This window comes from Homo sapiens, chromosome 14, assembly GCF_000001405.40.
Source record: "Homo sapiens chromosome 14, GRCh38.p14 Primary Assembly".
NCBI classification, from domain to species: domain Eukaryota; kingdom Metazoa; phylum Chordata; class Mammalia; order Primates; family Hominidae; genus Homo; species Homo sapiens.
Window position 1 is genome coordinate 78471677 of NC_000014.9, and position 20331 is coordinate 78492007.

Below are 20331 nucleotides of genomic sequence, written 5' to 3' on the forward strand. Positions count from 1 at the left end.
TGATATAGGTAATGGTAATATCCAGGCATAATTACGATACCATTGGTCTAGGCATACTTGTATAATTCTGTAGATCAGCTACCCCCCTAGAAAGTACTAAGGTAAATTTATGCACAGAGAGGGTGAAACAATGCAAAGGGACACTCTATTGCTAGTTGGGGCTTAGGCCCCTCAAATACTGAACAGGATTTTGGTGAACTGGGCTGCACCACAAAGAGAAGCTGGGTGGACTTGAACCAACCTAAAAGAAAAGTCAAACCTACCTTTCTGATTTTGGTTAGGAAGGGAAACCAAACTCTGCATCCCTGCTGAGAATCCCCGAAAAAGAAAGTGGCTGTAAAAGATGGAACCTAAGCCTTTCCAAGCCAGAATTCTGTGCTTTGTAGGAAAAGACAGGCATCAGAAGAGAAAGCCTCAAAGAGCTTTGAAGAGCAAGATAGCAAGATCTAGGACACAGCTTACTGTTTGAGGCCTAAGTTCCCCTCAGTGTTGGAAACTCCCACTATTATGGCCAGATGAAGTAGTTTTGCCTCTTTCTTGGTCACTGTCTTTGGGATGTGGAGGTGGTGTGGGGGCTGGAGGGAAAATGTGATATCCTGGGGATATGTTTTACTGTGAGGAACTTAAGGATCGGGGAAGTTAAGTCACTTACTCAACCAAGGTCATTTGTTTAGTGTGTGGGGAAGCTCAGATTTGAACTCTTGAATCTTGGCAACAACATTTAGTAATTTTCCCATTTTGCTACCTATCCTCTCTACCAAACACCATTTTGTTCTTATGTGGAAAATTGGTTCTACCCTCCTGGGCTTCCTCTGGCAGGAGCAGTGTCATTAAAACATTGAAGAGAACCCAAAGAATATATTTTTCTCCACTTAATGCTTGCTCAGGGAAGACATCCACATCCATGGGAGTTGTCTGGCTCACAGTTTAGGAAGTGTCATGCACATGGAGGTAGTCTGCTAGATGAGGCTTAGATCACATGTCTATTTCATCTCACTGTTCCTCCTTAAAAGTTCAGATGATACAAATGGCCACACTGTCCTCTAAAAGAAGCGTTGGAGTTTATTTTGGGAAAGGGGCCTATTTTAAGATAAAGGACAGGGGCTCCCTATTCTGCCACTGTGCTGGCTTGTCTCCACTCCACACTCAGCAAAAATGGAATATTCTCTAAACAATAGGTGACTCAGCCTTTGCAAAGTCTCAGGTGAAATGGATTTAGCCAGCAAAGAGAGAAAATGTCTTTTTTTTTTTTTTTCATTTTTCCCTGGTCCTGTTTGATGATAATTCTCAGTGCTCAGTGCTCCTTTCATCCAAAGATCTGTAATTAATTAAGCCTCACAACTCCCCTGGCAAGTAGAGAGAGGTACAAGGATGTTCATTTAAAACCAATCCTGTTTGATACAGTAGGACTGTTACCAAGGCTCTTTAAAAGAAAAACCTTTCTGGCCGGGCGTGGTGGCTCAAGCCTGTAATCCCAGCACTTTGGGAGGCCGAGGTGGGTGGATCATGAGGTCAGGAGATCAAGACCATCCTGGCTAACATGGTGAAACCTCGTCTCTACTAAAAATACAAAAAATTAGCTGGGCGTGGTGGCGGGCTCCTGTAGTCCCAGCTACTCGGGAGGCTGAGGCAGGAGAATGGCGTGAACCTGGGAGGTGGAGCTTGCAGTGAGCCAAGATCACACCACTGCACTCCAGCCTGGGCAACAGAGCGAGACTCTGTCTCAAAAAAAAAAAAAAAAATGAAAAACCTTTCTTTTGTGAAACTTCTTTTTAATGGACTAAATTAAAAAAGAAAGGGAAGAAGTAACTTTATCTGGGATACCTGCTGAGTTATGGCCACAGACAGAGTCCTAAGTTAGGAGCTCTGATGTCATTCTTGGATTAAACTAGGTGTATAAGCTACTGCTATGTAGCAAATCACCATGAAACTTAGTGGCTTTAGACAATAATAAACATTTATTGTTAATACAGTTACTGTGAATCAGGAATTCAGGAGTGGCTTATCTGGGTGGTTCTGCCTTGAGATCATAGTAAAGATGATAGCAAGGGCTGCAGTCATCTGAAGGCTTGACTGGGGCCGGAGGATCCACTTCTAAGATGGCTCACTCAAATGGATGGTGAGTTGGTGCTGGCTGTTGGTAGAAGACTAATTCTGCATGTGGACTTCTGCAAAGGGCTGCTTGAATGTCCTAATTATGAGGCAGATGCTCCCCTATTACAAGGGACCCAAAAGAGCAAACGTGTAAGTGTCAGTGTCTTTTGTTACCTACCCTGGGATGTCACACTGTCATTTCCTCAATGTCCTGTTGACTACACAGGTTAGCTCTCAACATTATGGGAGGGGCCTACAACAAGGGCATGAATATCAGGAAGAAGACTCACTGGAGGCCTGCTTGGAGCCTGGCTACTGTATGAAGACATATTAAACGTATGTCCATCTGTAATATTAGTGGTCCTCTGAAAAACCAGCTTAGAGGACTAATTATCATTCATCTGATAAGAAGAGAGAGTAAGAGATAGGGAATGGTGTAATTAACTTTCTGGTTATTTGTAGTTTTAGAAAAAAGAGCCACCATTCTTCATGGTTAAGTGATTAAGCCTATATTGGAGTGTACATAACAAGGGGTGATGCTCCCATTTTTAGGAGCTGGATAGCTGTCCCAGACCTTATAGCAGATCACTGGCTCCTCATTGTTGGTCCATGGACCAATGTTATATTAACTGCTAAAAGGCATCCCTGAGGCATTTATTAAAAATGTGGATACCAGCTTTCTACTCTTAGGGATTCTAAGTCTGTGCATTTGGAACCCACTGTGCTGGCTCAACTTATCAAGTTATGTGGGGTGAGAATTATGACTTATGGCAGTTATAGTCATTTGCTTAGCATCTCTCCATGATCTTTTTCTTGGTCTCAGAACACCAACTAAAAATAAGTTCCTGGTTGCTAAGGGCATGAATATCAGGAAGGAATTGATAGTTGCCAATGTTGTTTGCATACCATATTAGTTCAAGAAAGTGCAGAGAGTAGAAAGTTCCCTACCATAAGGGCTACTAGAAAGGCAGAGAGGGGATAGGGTTGCTGACCAATAGCAACAGTTTGGAAGATTATCATTATACTGCATCAATATATGCAAGGAACTGGTCTAATACCAGGTACAGAAGTACTTTTGCATCCTGCATACATTTTAGTCCAGTGGTTCTCAAATATTAGTATCCAGAAGAATCACCTGGAGAGTGTTTAAAAGTACAGATCTTTAGGTCTGCCTCTGGGATTCTGATTCAGTGGGTCTAGTGTACCCCAGGTGGTTTTGATGTAAGTGATCTGGGACCACACTTTGATATACACTGTTGTAGGTACAGCCTAACTTAATTGCAAGGTATTGACTTCATATCTATTTAATCTCCAGTAGCAAGAGTTTAACCGATAGAGTGGGTGACATATAAGGGGTACATGAATGACAGTTGCTAGGTGAACTGATGACATGCATGAGGGGTACAGGGAGACTGGACAGGTGTGAAAAAGCATTTTATTAGCATTATCTTTGTGGATATTCCCCTTTCAGATGATAAGCTCTTAGAGGTAGGACCTATATGCTATTTAATTTTGCAACTCCCGCAGAGGTTAGCATGGTAAGCTGCTTGCATCAGGCTTACAATAGATGTGTTAACACATAGGGGCAAGTTCATCTGAAGTGGCCAGGAATTCTGCCTGGTTGGGAATTGATTCATGGTACCCAGAGCATGTTGCATGTTGTGCTGACTGCTTTATGACTTTCGAAGTTGAGTGACTCTAGGTTATTGCCAAGCTCTCCTCTCACCTCTTCCCTCTTTCTTTCAAGTATCTCAGGTGGTATTGATAGTAAAACAGTCTTGGCATTAATGAGTGTCTGACTGGAGAGTGAAATGTAAATAAGAGTTGAATAGAGCACAGCCAAAGCCTACAAATTACCGCTGACAAATAACAGGGCAGACAAAGAGTATTTCAGCCTTACCAAACACCTCTGCTACAATCAGCTAAGAACACCTGGGAATGTCAGGGTGGCAGACACAGAGCCAACAACATGATCAAGAAGAGGACATTTGATGGCAAAGAGCAAAGCAGCAAGTTGCTTGTGCATTGCTTAGAGAAGAAGAGGAAGAAGAATGATAGAACTACTGGCTTCACTCAAGAATAATTTATTGAACTTCTACTATGTGCCAGTACTTATTATAGGTACTAGAGATAATAAGGTATACCAAGTAGACATAAAGCTTATATTTTAGCAAAAGATATAGATAATGGATAAGCAAATACTTAGTACATAGTACAATGTCACATGGTGATTAGTGTCAGTAAGAAGAATAAAGCAAGGGAGGGGAATACACAGTAAAAATAAAGTAAATATAATTCCCAATGACATTGCTATATATAATAATTTGACAAATCCATTAAACTAATACTTACTGAGTGCTTACTATGTGTCACACAGTATTGGGCAATGGAGATACAGTGATAAGACAAGTTTTGTAATTTCACAGTGCCTAATTTTTTTAGGCCAGGAAAAAGACTATAAACAAAGAAAGACACATAAGAAACATATGAGATAGTGATTTGTGCTATCTAGAGAATTAAGGAGAACTGGTAGAGTGACTGGGAAGGCTGCTTTAGTTTGGTTGAGGGAATTCCTCTCCAAGGAGGTGATATTAAATTGAAATCTGAATGACAAAGAGGAGCCAGCTATGCAGAAAGCATCACAGGCCAAGTGGGGAGGGCACACGGGTGAAGGCCCTGGACCCAGCAGATCTAGGAATAGAAAGGCCAGTAAAGCTTTATAAACCATGAGGGGCTGGGGTCTGGTTAGAATAATTAAGAAGAGAAATAATTTTTTGTTTTTCATATATATGACCTGGGGAACAAATATAAATCCTACAAAACTATCTTTCTTTCCATTTAAATATTGTCTAGTTCTTTCATCAGAGACAGGTGTAATATTTAAGTCAATTGATTTATAATATGAATTTCTTCCTGTAATTAGTTCTCTTTTCCCCAGCACCCCTGAGATAATTCAAAATGCAGGGCAAGTGTTATTATAATAAAATTTTATGTTAGTATAATTAACAAAAATACCATATAGCAATATGCCAGTCATTAAGCGTGTTGATTCATGTAGTAACTGGGAATTCTTAGTTAATATTTGTCTGCAGATCCATTTATCTTCCATAACACCTTAGATGAAATGTTTCTTTTTGGGCTCGTATTCAAGATCTTGGGGTGATCTTTTTCTGTGTCTAGTTTCCATGCAATCTGAGCTCTGCAGCAGCCAGTGGAAATGCCCTTAGTTGTCTTCAGTTTCTCTTTATGGGTGCTGCAATCTCTTTAACCCCTGTCCATACAGGAACTTTGTACACTCTGCTGTATTCTCCATCTAGGGTTCACATATCACCCAAATTCTCTTCTATGTCTCTGGGAAGGGAAGCAATTCTTTTTGCAGGTCTTCACTATTGTCTTTTTCTTTTTTCCATTGCTTTTTCTGTGCTGTCTGGAGAATCACTTTCCATACCATTGGGTCTTCTTTTCCCCAGTTAATATACCAGAGCCTTTCTGCTCATTCATTCTCTACATTTCATGCCTCTCTGAAGTATTAATACCTTTCTCTTTACACTGGTTACAGATGTATATGCAAAGATCAAGTGGATAGATTGTGTTTGCTGAGAAACTTTAGTGTTGAAAATGCAATGCAAATCTTTAATGTAAGTTTACTGTATATTTGAGTGTATTGTATATTTATTCTCCAATATAAATTTAGCAACTTTCACATTATGAATCACTAAGCCTTATGTTTCTCCAAAGAAGGGAGCATGACTTCTCAAAATACAATATTGTTTTAGAATGAAAATTTGTTTCATGACCAATGCAAATCAGTTCTGAAATTCCAAACTCCCTCAGCCTTGAATAACTTTAAAATGCAAATGCTACCCATAAGGAACAAATGTCTTTTCAATTATTAAAATTGAATTTCAAGATTTGGTTTCTTATGATAAAAATGTTTGAATATATCTGAAAAATCTTTCTTAAATCCTACTATTAATTAAAAAGGATAAAAGCAGAAAGTTGCAGGCAATAACAAGAACAAAGATTGAGTTACAAAAACTAGAATGTGTTTAATTTTCATAGAAGTTCTAAGGCATTACATTAGCACCATTAGGGTAGGGAAACAGGCTTATGTCTCTCTCTGTCTCACACACACACACGCACACACATACACAGGCTAACGGGAAAGGACAGACTCATGTACACACACATACACGCACACATAGTTGAGCCAATATGCTTTATGATCTGTGAAAATTAGGCTCAACATAGTGACCGAATTGAGAGACAGGATGTTGATCATAGTTTTGCTTTCTAACTTGAAGAATATAGCTGAGAAGCCAGGGTTTAATGGTTTTGATATTCTGGAAAATAGGTATCATGATAGTCAAACGTTTCTGCTCTGTTGGGATACAACAGAAGTATGATGTCTGTCCTTAGGAAGTTTACTAGTGATTTGGGGGGAAAATGGCTTTATATTATACAACTCAAACAGTATGAGCCAGTATACGCTTAAGCACTAGATACTGCAGTGCACAGAGACAAGTAGTTATGAGAATCAAGAGAAAGGAACATTATTAATACTGTGTGGGGCCAACATGGAATGCTTCATGGAGGAGAAGAAGTTTAACTTAATTTGGAGGAAAATACAGAATTTAGCATCATTTTCTCTTTAATGATAGCAAGTCATTTTTATTAATAATATTGATTATCTCTCTGTTGACTCACAGATTAGAGGATGGAAAAGCATGACAAACCCACAGGGTAACTATGTTTTAAAGGTTTTTAAAAAAGAAGTCAGAAAAAAAAGAGAAAGCCTTTCTAAGAGCCTAGTCTTGGGGAAAATGTAGGAGATGCAGAAGAGAATTAATGGCTAATGCTTATCATTTTGTACAAAATAACCTTGACACAAATGGGGCAATTTAAAGAAGGGTAAGTGACTCCCAGCCCACTCACCAAGGTTGATGGTGGAAATAATCATGGGGTTGAGGGCAGACTGGAAAAAGAAGACCGAGGGTAGGTAGCTTTCTCTTCTACATTATGTGTGTTTCTGATCTAGAGGTAGGAAGCTCATAGCTGAAGGAGCATTTTAGAAACTCAGCCTCTTCCACTTTCCAATCACTTTAGGTACTTAACTTGATCTAGCTGCAAGTTAGATGTGTCTCTTTTTTTTCCATCCTCCTTCAAGCTCTATGCAGAGATGTGTTAGTTGTCATATCACCAACGTCCAAGAAGTTATAGTGAACAAAACACAGTTAGAGAACTAGGATAATTGTAAATATTTTTTATAGCAAACCAATGTGCTACAATATGTAAGTTAGGGTGTGACTATCCCTGTGCTTCATAAGTGAGAAAATTATTATTGCTCTAAGTCAGTTTTCCATCTTGGCTACACATTAGAATCACCTGGCGAACTTTAAAAATTACCAATGCCCAGGACCTTCCCCCACCTGCTCTCCCAAGAGGCATAGTGAGTCTGAGAAGTGGCCTGGGCATTGGGGTTTCTAAAGCTCCCCAGGTTATTCTAATGTTCTGCAAAGTTGAGAACCACTCCTCTAACTGCTGATATAAACAAAGTGCAGCTGGAGAGTTTGTTAAACCACAGACTGTTGAATTCCATCGGCAGAGTTTCTGATTCATTAGATCTGGGATGGGAACCAAGAATTTGTATTTCTAACACATCCTTGGGTGATGCTGATACTGCTGGTTCTGGGGACCACAGTTTAAGAAACGTTGATTTAAACTATTGAGGTCAAGACAATTCAGGTTGTACAAAGTCAGCATTTCGTAAGGTTTGTCCCCAGAACATACTTATTAAAATGCAGATTCTGGGCACCTCCCTAAACTCACTGAATTAGAATGTCCAGGAATTTGCAATTTTAAATGAGCTCTTCCAGTTTTTCTTTTGGACGCTAGTGAACTATGGTGGAGGTTAATAGTTTTATTTCTTATCTTGCTCCAAATATTATTTTATATAAGTTGAATGTGTGACCCTATGAAGGTTTTTGTAATTATTTTATGCTATATTTTGTGTGTGTGTGGAAGAAAACCTCTATAGATTGGATTGCATTAGGTACCCTGAGGAATATCAGTAGTCAAATTTGGGGAAATAAGGCTGGGCATGGTGGTTCACGCCTGTAATCCCAGCACTTTGGGAGAGCAGGGAGGGCAAATTACCTGAGGTCAGGAGTTTAAGACCAGCCTGGCCAACATGGTGAATCTCTACTAAAAAATACAAAAATTAGCCAGGCATGATGGCAGATGCCTATAATCCCAGCTGCTCAGGAGGCTGAGGCAGGAAGAATTGCTTGAACCTGGGAGGCGGAGGTTGCAGTGAGCAGAGATCACGCCATGGCACTCCAGCCTGGATGATAGAGTGAGACCCTCAAAGAAACAAACAAACAAAAAACCCAAAAAAGAAATTTGGAGAAATAAGCTTCGTCATGGGGCTTATATTATAACAACAGACTCACCTGTTTATATAGTGGCTGCAATTCTCATTGCATCTGAGATGTTCAAGAGGTAACTTTCAAAACCACACTTGGCACATTCAACATAATTAGGTAATTGCACACAGCACAGGTTGTATAAAGGTTAGAGGAGCATCTTTCAAATTTTAGAGGATATTAAAATTACCAGGGGTATTTGTTAAAAGTTAGATTCCCAAGTCAGAGCTCCAGAGAGTCCCAGCTCTGGGTGGCATCCAGGAATCTTTATTTAACAAAAGTAGATTCTTATACAATGGGTCCAGGAATCTCATTTTAAGAAATAGTGGATTGGAGAATATGAAGTATAAAAATTGTTTTCACAGTTGACCTGAGTTGCTAATAAACAATTTGCTATATATTTACTATTTTTTTCACATTTTGTAAGTCAGTGTCCTAATAGCTAGGTATAAGTGTAGGCTAAAATGGCAATGTTCAGGATACATCCTTTAAGGGTGTAATATTATTACATACATCTGTCTCCTTTCTCATTTACATATTGTGCAGCTTTTTTTGTCCCTTTCTATACTATTCCCCCTTTTATTAAAAAATGGAGCAGACACATGATTAAAATGAGGACCAGGTCAAGTTTGCATTTAGCTAAGTATTCTTCCCCTTTATTTCCCTGTCTTGGCCAGCTTACTGTCATTCCTCTTTTTCCCTTTGTTCTTTTGTCTGTCTTTTCCCCTACCAGTCCATGTTCCATCTTTCCTCTACGTTGTCTCTCCTTTGTGACCTCTTTCTGTGGCCATTTCAGTGGGCATGAAGGGAAGGGGTGGTCACTGTAAACCTTGCCAATCCATATTTCTCTCTCCACAGCCAGGTGGTGGTGTAGAAAGTTAGTAAAGAATAAAAACCTACACAAGTCTTCTATTATATTCTGGTGTGCAAGTGTGGGGTTAATAGAACTGAATAAAATGATTTTTAACTAAAACTCAGAGTCCACAGGTAAGAGGGAGAGAGGTCTGGACAAAAATTGTACAAAATTTTGTTGGTGAATGATAGTCTCTGTAGGGGAACGCTGTGCAAAATGAGTCTTAACTGATTTAGAATATAGCTGGACATTCTTATCAAGTTAACTGTCCACTGTTTTGAATCACAGGGGCTAGGATAGGATTATTTCTTTTTCTTTCATGTTTCGGATTTCCTTCTACCTGCGAAAATATTAGCTTTCACTCAAGAATCCTCTCCCAGGCAGAAAGAAGGAAAGAAAGTCTTGCTAGAGGAGAAATCTTATTAAGGCTCATGGTGATTCAGGAGTGACAGCCGGGGCTTTTTCAATGGACTTATCTGCTGTCACAGAGACCCACTATCCTGGAAGAGCCCAGGCAAAGTCTGAGGGTTTTGACCATCAAAATGAATGACTGCAATATGTTTTGAATTGCACAGACAGGAGGAGAAGTGATAGGTATTCTTTATGGAAAATCACAAAGAGAAAGAGCTAGCAATCTTCAAGCCTTTTTATCTTCATACCAAAAACAATATGAATACTTTCTATGGAGAAAAATTGTGGCAGCAACCTGAGCTGAACATAACTACAAACAGAAAGGATATCCCCTCCTACAGCCCTCAGAGTCATCTGGCATTTTGCTTATCCTGCCCCTGAACTCAAGACTCTTTTATATTATAGAGTTCTTTTAGGAAATATTTATTTCTTGAACTTCCCCTTATTTTTTAGGGTATCTCCCCATCTTTTTGCCCCAAGAGCCTGAATCACTTGAGCAAGATATAATATCCATGTAGATAAGATGATAAAGGGATTCCTTATATCAAGGAGTCAACTAAAAGTTAATCCCTGTGAAACACAGAAACCCACCACAAATGGTAAAATCCCAAGAAAAAGTTTTGAGTTTTGACCAAAGAGCTAATTTCATTTCCCACAAGTGCAAAACTTTGGATGTATTTATATCAGCTGACTACTATATCTTTTCTCAAACTCCAAAGCCCACATAGCTGATATACTCTTGTCAACTGATATTGTTTCCATGTTACAGATCAGGAAACGGAGGCTATTCAAAGTTACTGTATATGCGTTGTCTAAGTGCTATTTGTATACTTGTTTATCACTCCTTTGATCTGCCCCATTGAGGTAGACAATGATTCTTGCTACTTCTTGGCTCTCCTATATACCCAGGGCTATCCTGTCTCATAATAGAAGCTTGATAAATATTGTCAAACTAGATCATATGCTTTGTTTGAGTCCTCAAGGGGAGACAATGAAATAGCTGGGGCTAGACCCTCCTCTCTCTCTCAGACATCTTGAAATGCAGTCAGGACGTAGCGGTGCTGAGCCCATTATAAGACCTCAATAAATACCTGTCAATGGCTTGACTGAAGGACTGATTCAAGACTATCATATTCTTTAGTACTTGTCTCATGTACTTCAACAAGGACTTTAGACTAAACTGATTTGATTGGTTATATTTTTAGACTTGTTACTTCTGTTTTGACAGAAAGAATAGACAATACGACTACAAGCATAGTGACCTTCTGGATTTGTTCCTGTGGATAATCTTAAGATAATTTGAAGGAAGTTTCTTAACTTTTTAAAGGCACAGGTGTCAGAAGTGACAGGCTTGATAATTAGTCAGCATTACCCCCTCACTCCTTTTAATGTTGTTTCTCACGCTTTGCATTGGTTACTAGTCAATCTGGGTTGCAGTTCTGATTTAGATGTCACCGTACTCTGCTTTAAAGGTTATTTTGGATCTTTGCCTGTCTTTGATGTGTTCTAGTACCCATCTTCCTGTCTCCATCCCCAGCATCTGAGAACACTTCTCATTTCCCCACTAGATTGTTTTTTTAAATTTTTGAGCATGCTCTGTTTTATTTTCTGATTATGAAGGGCATTTCTAGTAGTCCTGGGAAGAGTGAGCTCACAAAAAGACAGCTAGAGAACTAGTGATCATGACTATTATCACATCAAGACTTTGGCTTAAGCAAAACAGAACAACAAAACCCCAAAAAACCCCACAAAACTGGGAAGTGCTTAGAGCCCCTTCTACGTGACTCTGTCTGCATCTGCAGTAGGAAAGTTTACATTTACTGTTAATCTGCTGTTCAACTTTTTGGGAATGAATTAGCAACTCTTAAATTTCTCTCCATTTCCTATTTCTAGTAATTAGCTCAGTGTCACAGCTAAGGTTTTCTTACTGACTTCAGCATGGAGACTTAGCAGTTACGGAAAGGAGAGGCTAGAGCTTTCCACCAACTGCATGTCACTGGTGACTCCAAGAGAGAATCCAACAAATCAACTACTAATAATCCTTACTATTTAAACCGTGTTCACTATTATCCAATAACTTGGCTCTCAGTTATATCTTCTTAAGAATTCTAATAAGGCATTTAGTTTATACAAAGGAGGAGTCTGATCTATGCAGTGGACATGAGAGACAACCAAAGTTTTGTTCCTCTTTCCAATGGCATAGAGAAAAAAATAAAATTTAGGCAGAATTAGAATTCAGAATGCCTGGGAGTTCCTCCAGCCTTGGGAAATTCCAGGTGAGAGGGGAGGACTCTGGAGCTTTTTAAAAAGACCCTAGAGTTCATTTTACCCAACAATTTTATTTCATAAATGAGAAAACTGAGGCCTAGAGAAGTATGGCTTACCAAGGTTACAAACTAAATTATGGCAGTTTTAGCTCATGGCTTATGTTAGCTAGACTGCTGGTTCGATTTTTCAGTGGAAGCCTCCTTTTGAAGAAGGGCAAGCCATTCATTTTTCAGCATAAACCAAGGGATGCTCTTACACACACACACACACACACACACACACACACACACACACACACACAGAGAGAGAGAGAGAGAGAGAGCAAAAAAAGAATAGCCATCATAAAGATACATTTCTGTTCTGGATTCAAGAGGCAGAATTATTAATACAGGTAGACTGCCAGGAATGCAGAATGTTAATGCAGCTGCGGAATAATACACTAGTGCCACAGAGTTTAATAATAGATAATGACAAATAATACAGTTGGGGAATTGTGTAATTCAATAACAGAGTAAATGACAAGGAAACACACACACCAATGAATGGTTCTAGTGGGGACGCTTAGGTGTTTTCAATTTAACTTACCTCTCCAGCCCTTTGGCCTACTACCCTTTTGAGAGGCAGGCAGGACATGCAGAGATGTGCCCAGCTGGGGTTTTTAGTTTGTGCAGTGAAGTTGCAGGTTTCAGGGGCTGAGTCAGGAAGTATGAATTGTGCTCCTGGGCAGTTATCAGCTGATCCCTTTAATGCATGTATTACTTTCCTCCATGTCATGACTGGATAGTTTCTTTTTTTCTGGGGGAGAGGGGGCCTAGAATTGTCCCAGGTTGGCCATTCTCTCCTATTACCCACTCTGTAAATCACTGCATATGAGGGAGTGGTACTGGAACATGGAGCTTGAAGATGGGAAGAGACTGGGAGTTGGGGTTTGGGTTTAGGGTCATAATGGGAGGTAAAAGGTTTAGCCACAGCTATGGTTTAGTAAGCATACCAGTGATCTGGTGTGTACTTCCCTGTCCTCAGCTGCATTAGAGAAAGGCAGCCGCTGATCACTGTTAGACCTGTATTCTTTCTCTAAGAGAATGGGATATTTCCCTCTCATTCTTTTAAAATAAGATAAAAAGCAAGGGGTGGGGAAATTAATTAATGTCAGTAAATGAAGCATGAGACACTTGTCCGGATATGATAATGACTGTGAATTAGTGCAGAATAAATAAAATGGTATAAAAAATGAACCTTGCCAGCACACTCCTTTGGGATGGGCTCAGTCACCCTTATAATGCATTAACTCTTCCCTTGCCTCATCCTTGGTCCTGTCTATGTTACTGTGTCAAAGCTCCCCCACTGCAGAGTCTCAAGGCTACAGTATTATAGCCTGAGGTGCCCAAAGGGAGCCCTGGCTCCAGGAGAGATTGAGCCAGCTGGTGACTGCATACTTTATAATGTAAATAGAATAACTTCACATCTATTTATTAATAAAACCACACTAAAAAGAAGCAATTGTGTGTCCCCCGGTTGGGAGATTCAAGAAGGCAGACAGAAAGCCACTGGAGGAAGAAAAAGGGATAAGTTCCTCAAAATAAGTTGCTCCCTTTCCCCCAGAGCCAAAGTTTACCTTTGTGCTGCTGGTAAGTTATCTACCTCCCCTCTCTACTTTTCTGTAAGGGCCCCAGGCTGTATGTCTTTTATATCGTCTTCAGATGACTACAATAAACACACACTAATTGGGCACTTCCTGTGTCCAAGCACTGTAGAATAAACAGAGAGAAATAAAGCAATCTCCATTTTCAAGTTTTCTCCTTTAAGGGTGTGGAGTAGTGCTTGACATGTAGTAAATGCTCAACAAATTGTTGCTATTACATCAGCATTGTTTCACTGAATTTAATCCCTATGAAATTTTCACTGAAGACAAGTTTGAGAGATTCAGAGAGCCCTTGGCCACTTTATTTTCTTTACTTTTGTTTCTTTGCTTTCCTTTTCTCCTTCATTTTCTTATCTCTTCTATGTTTCAAAGTTCTTAGATTATTGGCAAAGCAAATGCAAAGAACATGGTTATAATAACCTTTGAATGTTAACACTTAAGAAATTATTTGCTATTAACAGAAACTCAATGCAGTGTAGTCACCAAATATGAATCACTGAATTCAGAAATGTTATTAATTCACACTACAGTATGGGCAGGTAGACAAGTGTCGGAATACTAGTTTAGAGTTGTTTGATGACAGCTTATATCTTTTTGTATTCTCATCAGTGGTGACTATATTTGCAGAGTGATTTGGAAATAATAACAAAAGATTGAATTTGTAATGTTTGGTATTTTCTTAAAATACTCTGGAACCACAACAAAGAGAGGGCTGGATGAAACCATGTGGACAATTATTGTTGAAGCTGAGCAATAGGCTTATGGTGGTACTTACTATTTTTGTGAGTGTTTAAATACTGCTATAATAAGGAAGGCTAAAGTGTTGAGGGATCCTTTGGGAATGTAAGCCTGGATGAATGACCTCCTGGGGCCTACCTTTTTCCTGCCCCTCCAAGTCCAAGTTGGGAGGTAGATGGTGAATGTTTTACATTCCTGGTGTGACTCAACATAACCTTTTAAGGACAGTGTTAACATGAGATGCCTCCTGTTCCTTTGGGAGGTCTGTAATTTTTCTCAGAAGGCTAACTTATAGTCCAGGTATGTGTGCACTCTGCCCATTCAGTCTTTGCCTTTGGTTTTTCTTTGATCTGGAGGATCATAGGAGGCAAGTGTGGAAATACTTCTTCCTGGAGACAATGGCAGAGGAGAGTCCGTGTATAGAAATTGATTTGTTAACCCTTGCGATGGCCTCCCTCTCCCACCCTGGGATGGTGGAAGAGATGCCACTGAGAGCCTGGGCTTGTCTGGTGAAAGAGTGGGCTTAAGGAAAAAGCAACAACAGGATCACAAATGAGACCCTAAATCTGGTTTTTTCCTTGTCCTCAGTAGCTTATTAGAGATAACTACATCACATAAGCTCTGTCCATGACTGTGAACTTTTATGGTTTTGTCTATTAGAGGGTGATGTCAGAGGCTGTTATCACTGGCATTAATGATTTATTTGGGCACAGGTAGACTTATAAAAGTAGGTGGGGGTATTGATTATAGTCATGGGCCAATGAGATTCTGTTTCATTTCCTAACCACCAAACAGATGTAAAGGACTTCTGTGTGCAGACCTCAAGATTACACAGCAAAGGGGCTTCCAAAGGAATTTACAATTTGAATGAGACCTATAAGAATCAAGAGGTGCCCAAGAGCAGACGTAGGCCTGTATGTCCCCATATGGTTGAGTTTTGATAATCCTTCATTTCCAGTCACTGCTATGGTCTGGCTGACCTTCTGAATGTACCCAGTATTGGCTGGCTTTAGATCTATGATATGAGCTATTTTTTTACTCATTAAAGTGTTTAAATTTCTGTGCTTAGTTTCTCAGATGACTTTTTTTTCTGTGTGGAATCTGGTTGATATTTTTGGAGAATAATTTAAATCAGTTCTAATTCCACCCTGAAGAGCTCCTTTTGACACACAAGTGGCTTTGTGTCATTGCAACTCTGGAGGAGGCCAGGGCAGGCTTCCTGGGTGCTCAGAACACTGGCTGCCCTTGGAATTATGGCTTTATCTCTGGGGGATAGTACTTCAAGAAAAAATGCCAAGGAAATGTTTGTCTTAGTGTATTTTTGTCCATTTTGCCTCAAAAAAGATTTGTCCTGCCCAGGAGCAGTGGCTCACACCTGTAATCCCAACACTTTGGGAAGCCAAGGCAAGTGGATCACTTGAGGTCAGGAGTTCAAGACCAGCCTGGCCAACATGGTGAAACCCCGTCTCTACTAAAAATACAAAATTAGCCAGGTGTGGTGGCATGCATCTCTAGTCCCAGCTACTCAGGAGGCTAAGGCATAAGAATCGCTTGAACCCAGGAGGCAGAGGTTGCAGTGAGCTGAGATCATGCCACCACACTCCAGCCTGGGCCACAAGAGTGAAACTCCATCTCATAAATAAATAAATAAATAAATAAATAAATAAATAAATAAATAAATAAAGATAGATTTGTCCTGAAACTTAAAGAATAAAGACTCGGTAGACATGGAATATATTTTTTTTCAAATTTCAAAATGCAAAAGAGAATACAGGTAAATACTTGTATTTACTTCATAAATGCCCTATTTTTCACAGGGTGTATCAGTGTGCTTTGGGCTGCCATAGTAAAATAGCACAGGCTGGAGGACTTGAACAACAGAAATTCATTTTCTCACAGTTCTGGAGGCTGTAAGTCTAAGACCAAGGTGCCAGCAGGTTTGGTTTCTCCAAAGGCCATTCTCTTTGGCTTACAGATGGCCATCTTTTTCCTGTGTCCTCACGTGACTTTTCCCCCATGTGTACATCCCTGGTATTTCTTCATTCCAAATTTCCTCTTGTTATAAGGATACCAGTCACACTGGATTAGGGCTCACTCTAATGACCTCATTATAACTTAATCACCTCTTTAAAAATCACCTATCTCCAAATACAGTCACATTCTGAGGTCCTGAAGGTTAGGGCTTCAACCTATGAATTTGGGTAGGAGGCAGGGACACAAATCAACTCATAACACAAGATGAGGAATATTGTTAAATGATAAAAACAAAACACTTGATCCCTATGATCTAAAGCCCTGCTCTGCAATTCTAGAGATTGCTTTAGAAGTTTGCATTTAGGTATAGTCGTAACATCCTAGAAATTAATTTAGAAAGCTGCTTTTACATTAAAAATCAAAAAGGTGAGCAAAAAGAATCATGGCTCTGTAAATTTTCTTTTATTTTGATATTTCAGAGGACATTATTACTATTACTAAAATATTGTGGGTGGGGGGAAGGAAAGTTGGGAGTAGGATGAGAAAGAATCAAGTGTTGAGGGAAATTTTTCATGTTTGTTGGAGGAAAAGAAAAGACATGAAAGGAAGAAAGATGAAAGAAAGAGGGAGATGGAGAAATAAGGCAAAAGAAGAGAAGAAGGAGAAAGAAAGGAGGAGGAGGATGAAGAAGAAGAAAGGGGAGGGGGAGGAGAAGGGAGGAGGAGATAAAGGAGGAGAGGAGAAGAAATGAAGAGGGAATGGGAGGGGAAAGGTGGAGTGGGGAGTGAAGAGGAGAAGGGGGTGGAGGAAAGAGATGAGGAAAGGGAGAGGTAAAGAAGAGAGAGAAATTAGTGTAGGTAGCACTTACCATGGATTGAAAAAGAGAGTTCACGCTTTTCCCTCTCTTAGGAAACTCCCAGCTGCTTCTAAGAAAATAAGAGTGACTACATCAGAGAGATGCAAACAGGAAGAGAAAGTAAATGGAGGCCCTGGAGAGGGAGAGCTTGGGTATTGAGGTTTGGTGTGGATAGCTGAGAACCATCCAACATTAATGAGCACAAATGTGTGCACAGGCTGAAAATGTCTCTCCAGGGACGCTGATGACTTGAGCTTTGTGTGTGCCATTGGAAATCATGAATGAGAAAATAACTGACTCGCTCTCTCAGACAATCTGGTTTATGGACCTGAAGCTCTTATTTGCTGTCAGGTTGTTCATCTCCACGCCTCTGTGAGATATTATTGAAACAGAACCCAGCACTGTCCTCCTTGCCAAAGTGGTTGACGTTGGCCTTAACTTTCCCCAGTTCTGAGACAGGGACAGACTGGCTAATGTAAGTGTGCCCTGTGGATGTGCAATTTAGAGGGAGGAATGGGAAAGTATGTTGTATGCAGCTAGGGACGCACACACAGAGGATATTTTCACTGATTCCTCTCTGTGGGCATAACTACTGTCTTGAAGGCCTTTGCTTTTCTGGTTTTATGATTTCCAAGCCTCTTTCCTGAATCTTAGAAGTCAAAACTCAAGCTAAGCTGCAACAGAAACTTCATCTTTTCTCAGAATAAAATCTATTTTCTTCCCCTTCCCATGGTAAACAAATTATGTTGACAGACAAATGAGGGATTAGGTGAGGAAATTTGTGATTTTGGAAGCTCAGGGAAGCAGATGTCAGGATTCAGCTGAGAGGGAAGAATTTGGGCGGGGTGGGAGGCTACATGGAGAAATCAGAGGCAATCAGGAGGTGCTGTCCAAGATGAGGCATGGTGGTGAGATGGATAAAGAAGCAGTTTCTAAGATGCCACTCAAGAGCTCTCTGGAGATTTACAGAGAGCTGGACTTTTTTTTTTTTTTTTGAGACAGAGTCTCACGCTATCACCCAGGCTGGAGTGCAGTGGCACGATCTTGGCTCACTGCAACCTCTGCCTCCTGGGTTCAAGCGATTCTCCTGCCTCAGCCTCCTGAGTAGCTGGGACTGCAGGCACATGCCACCATGCCTGGCTAATTTTTGTATTTTTAGTAGAGATGTGGTTTCACCAAGTTGGCCAGAATGGTCTTGATCTCCTGATCTTGTGATCCACCCACCTCGGCCTCCGAAAGTGCTGGGATTACAGGTGTGATCCACCACACCCGGCCTCCCAAAGTGCTGGGATTACAGGTGTGATCCACCACACCCGGCCTGAGTTTTCTAAACTTCTGGGTAAGGCTGTTTGACTTTGGACATGACGCTAGGCTTAACTGAGCCTCTATTTTACCTTATGCACAGTGGGCATACTCCTTACCTTACTTACTTCACAGGTTGGCTTTGAAAACAAAATCATATAGGAAAAATATTCTGAATATGCTGAAGAGCCAGAAAACATAGTATTATCACTTTCTTGGTTTTGCTGTACCCATGTATGAATCTTTTCTGCAGCATCCCTGCTGCATGCTTGTTTCTATGTCCCCATGTCCTGCCTCAGTTGAATGCATCTGGTGGTGGGGAGCTTACTACCCTTTAAGGAAAGTCATTGTTTAAAAACATGTATATATAATTTTTAATTTTTACAGAAAAATGTTTGCATTGAGCCCAAGTCTGCCTAATAATAATAGCAGTAAGCTAACTCTCATGTAAGGTATACTCTGCAGCAGACCCACTTTGGGAACTTTACATATATTAACATTTATTACATTTATTATTCTTAGCCACCCTATAAGGTGGGTACTGTTATTATTCCGATTTTACATGCAAGAAAACCAAGGCACAGACAGAGTAGGTAACTTGTCCTAGGTCACGGGGTAATAATTTTTACCTGCTGGCTCTTGTTTTTCTGTCCATAGCTGACCCAAAATATTTGATGACCGGTATTTTGTCCTCTTTGAGTGCTCCCTTTGCCGGTCTACCATCTCCTTTCCCTTGCTTTCTTCTGCATGTGCCTCCTTCTGAAGTTTTCCCACAGCAGGCCCCACTCTCCAAGGGTGTTTCGACCTATTCAGAAAAGAGTTGCATTGCTGGGTCCCCTTGGACCTGCTGCTGCCGGTCGGCTGGGAAGAGTTATAAAGAAGAAAGGACATTTTCAAGCTAAGCTCTCCTGGAAACTGGTAGGATGGCGTGAGCTGGTCCACAGGCCCCAGCTGCCAGATGATGGGAATTGGGATCAGCTGTGACCTAATTATGAGTCTCGTAAACCTGCATTGTGCCCTTCATTTTCCAGCTCATTGACCACTCAGAGGGGGAGGGAAAAGGGATGAGATTCTGGTCAAGTCCTTCCTGCCACTACCATGTGGCCAAGGTCACAGGCCAATGATGTCCAGAGGGAGTTGGGGCAGGGGATGCGCTCTTTGTCTTCTCTGAATGAAGCGAGCGAGGAGTGAGGCAGAGAGGAAGGAAGATTTGCAGACAAGCAAGCCTCCCAGGAGCTTGTTGGATTGGAATGTATTCTCAGGTCTATTGTAGAGACAGAAATTCCAGATTTAGCATTCTGTCATTGTCAGAATAACAAATTAATATGTCTTATGCCCACACAACTACATATACGCAAATATACAGGCATGAAACGGAATATCTGGCAGATATCATGTATTTTATAACTCTTTGGGGACAAAGACTGTGCTGAGAATTCATTTTTATACTGATAGAGAACCCCAGCTCCCCACCTCCAAACCAAACACATAATCTCCACATCACATAGATGTGGGCGATTCAAATTGCTTTCTCCTGTCAAAAGGTAGCATCTATGAATCACTAAGTAGAGTCTATGAAATTCTCAGTTGAGAATGTGTCTATAAAATTTCCTCCTTTCTTACCTTTTTAAATAAAATTACTAATTTCTCTCTCAAATCTGACTGTGGAAGCCTTAGGACTAGTGGGATATTGCAGAAAGAATGTGACGTTTGGGACCAGGAAGGTGCTGAGATTCGGATTCCGCCTCTGCTGCTTACCATGTGGGCA

General features: G+C 40.4%; 1 protein-coding gene across 52 annotated transcripts in view, besides 2 other annotated features; it reads left to right on the top strand.

The window, feature by feature from the left end:
- The window catches only part of NRXN3 (neurexin 3), a 1697919-nt gene that overhangs the window by 301304 nt on the left and 1376284 nt on the right, over positions 1 to 20331 (top strand). The window lies entirely within an intron of this gene.
- Positions 9759 to 9928: an enhancer, noted in NCBI's record as "experimental_36905 CRE fragment used in MPRA reporter constructs". NCBI's record gives its function as "activates a minimal promoter by MPRAs in K562 erythroleukemia cells, with activity observed for the non-introgressed 14:78947863 or rs17107727 variant allele {active_cell/tissue: K562}" and the evidence as "EXISTENCE:reporter gene assay evidence [ECO:0000049][PMID:34662402]".
- Position 9844: a transcriptional cis regulatory region, noted in NCBI's record as "Neanderthal adaptively introgressed variant 14:78947863 (GRCh37/hg19 assembly coordinates) or rs17107727 in the experimental_36905 CRE". NCBI's record gives its function as "modulates activity of the experimental_36905 enhancer by MPRAs in K562 erythroleukemia cells {active_cell/tissue: K562}" and the evidence as "EXISTENCE:reporter gene assay evidence [ECO:0000049][PMID:34662402]".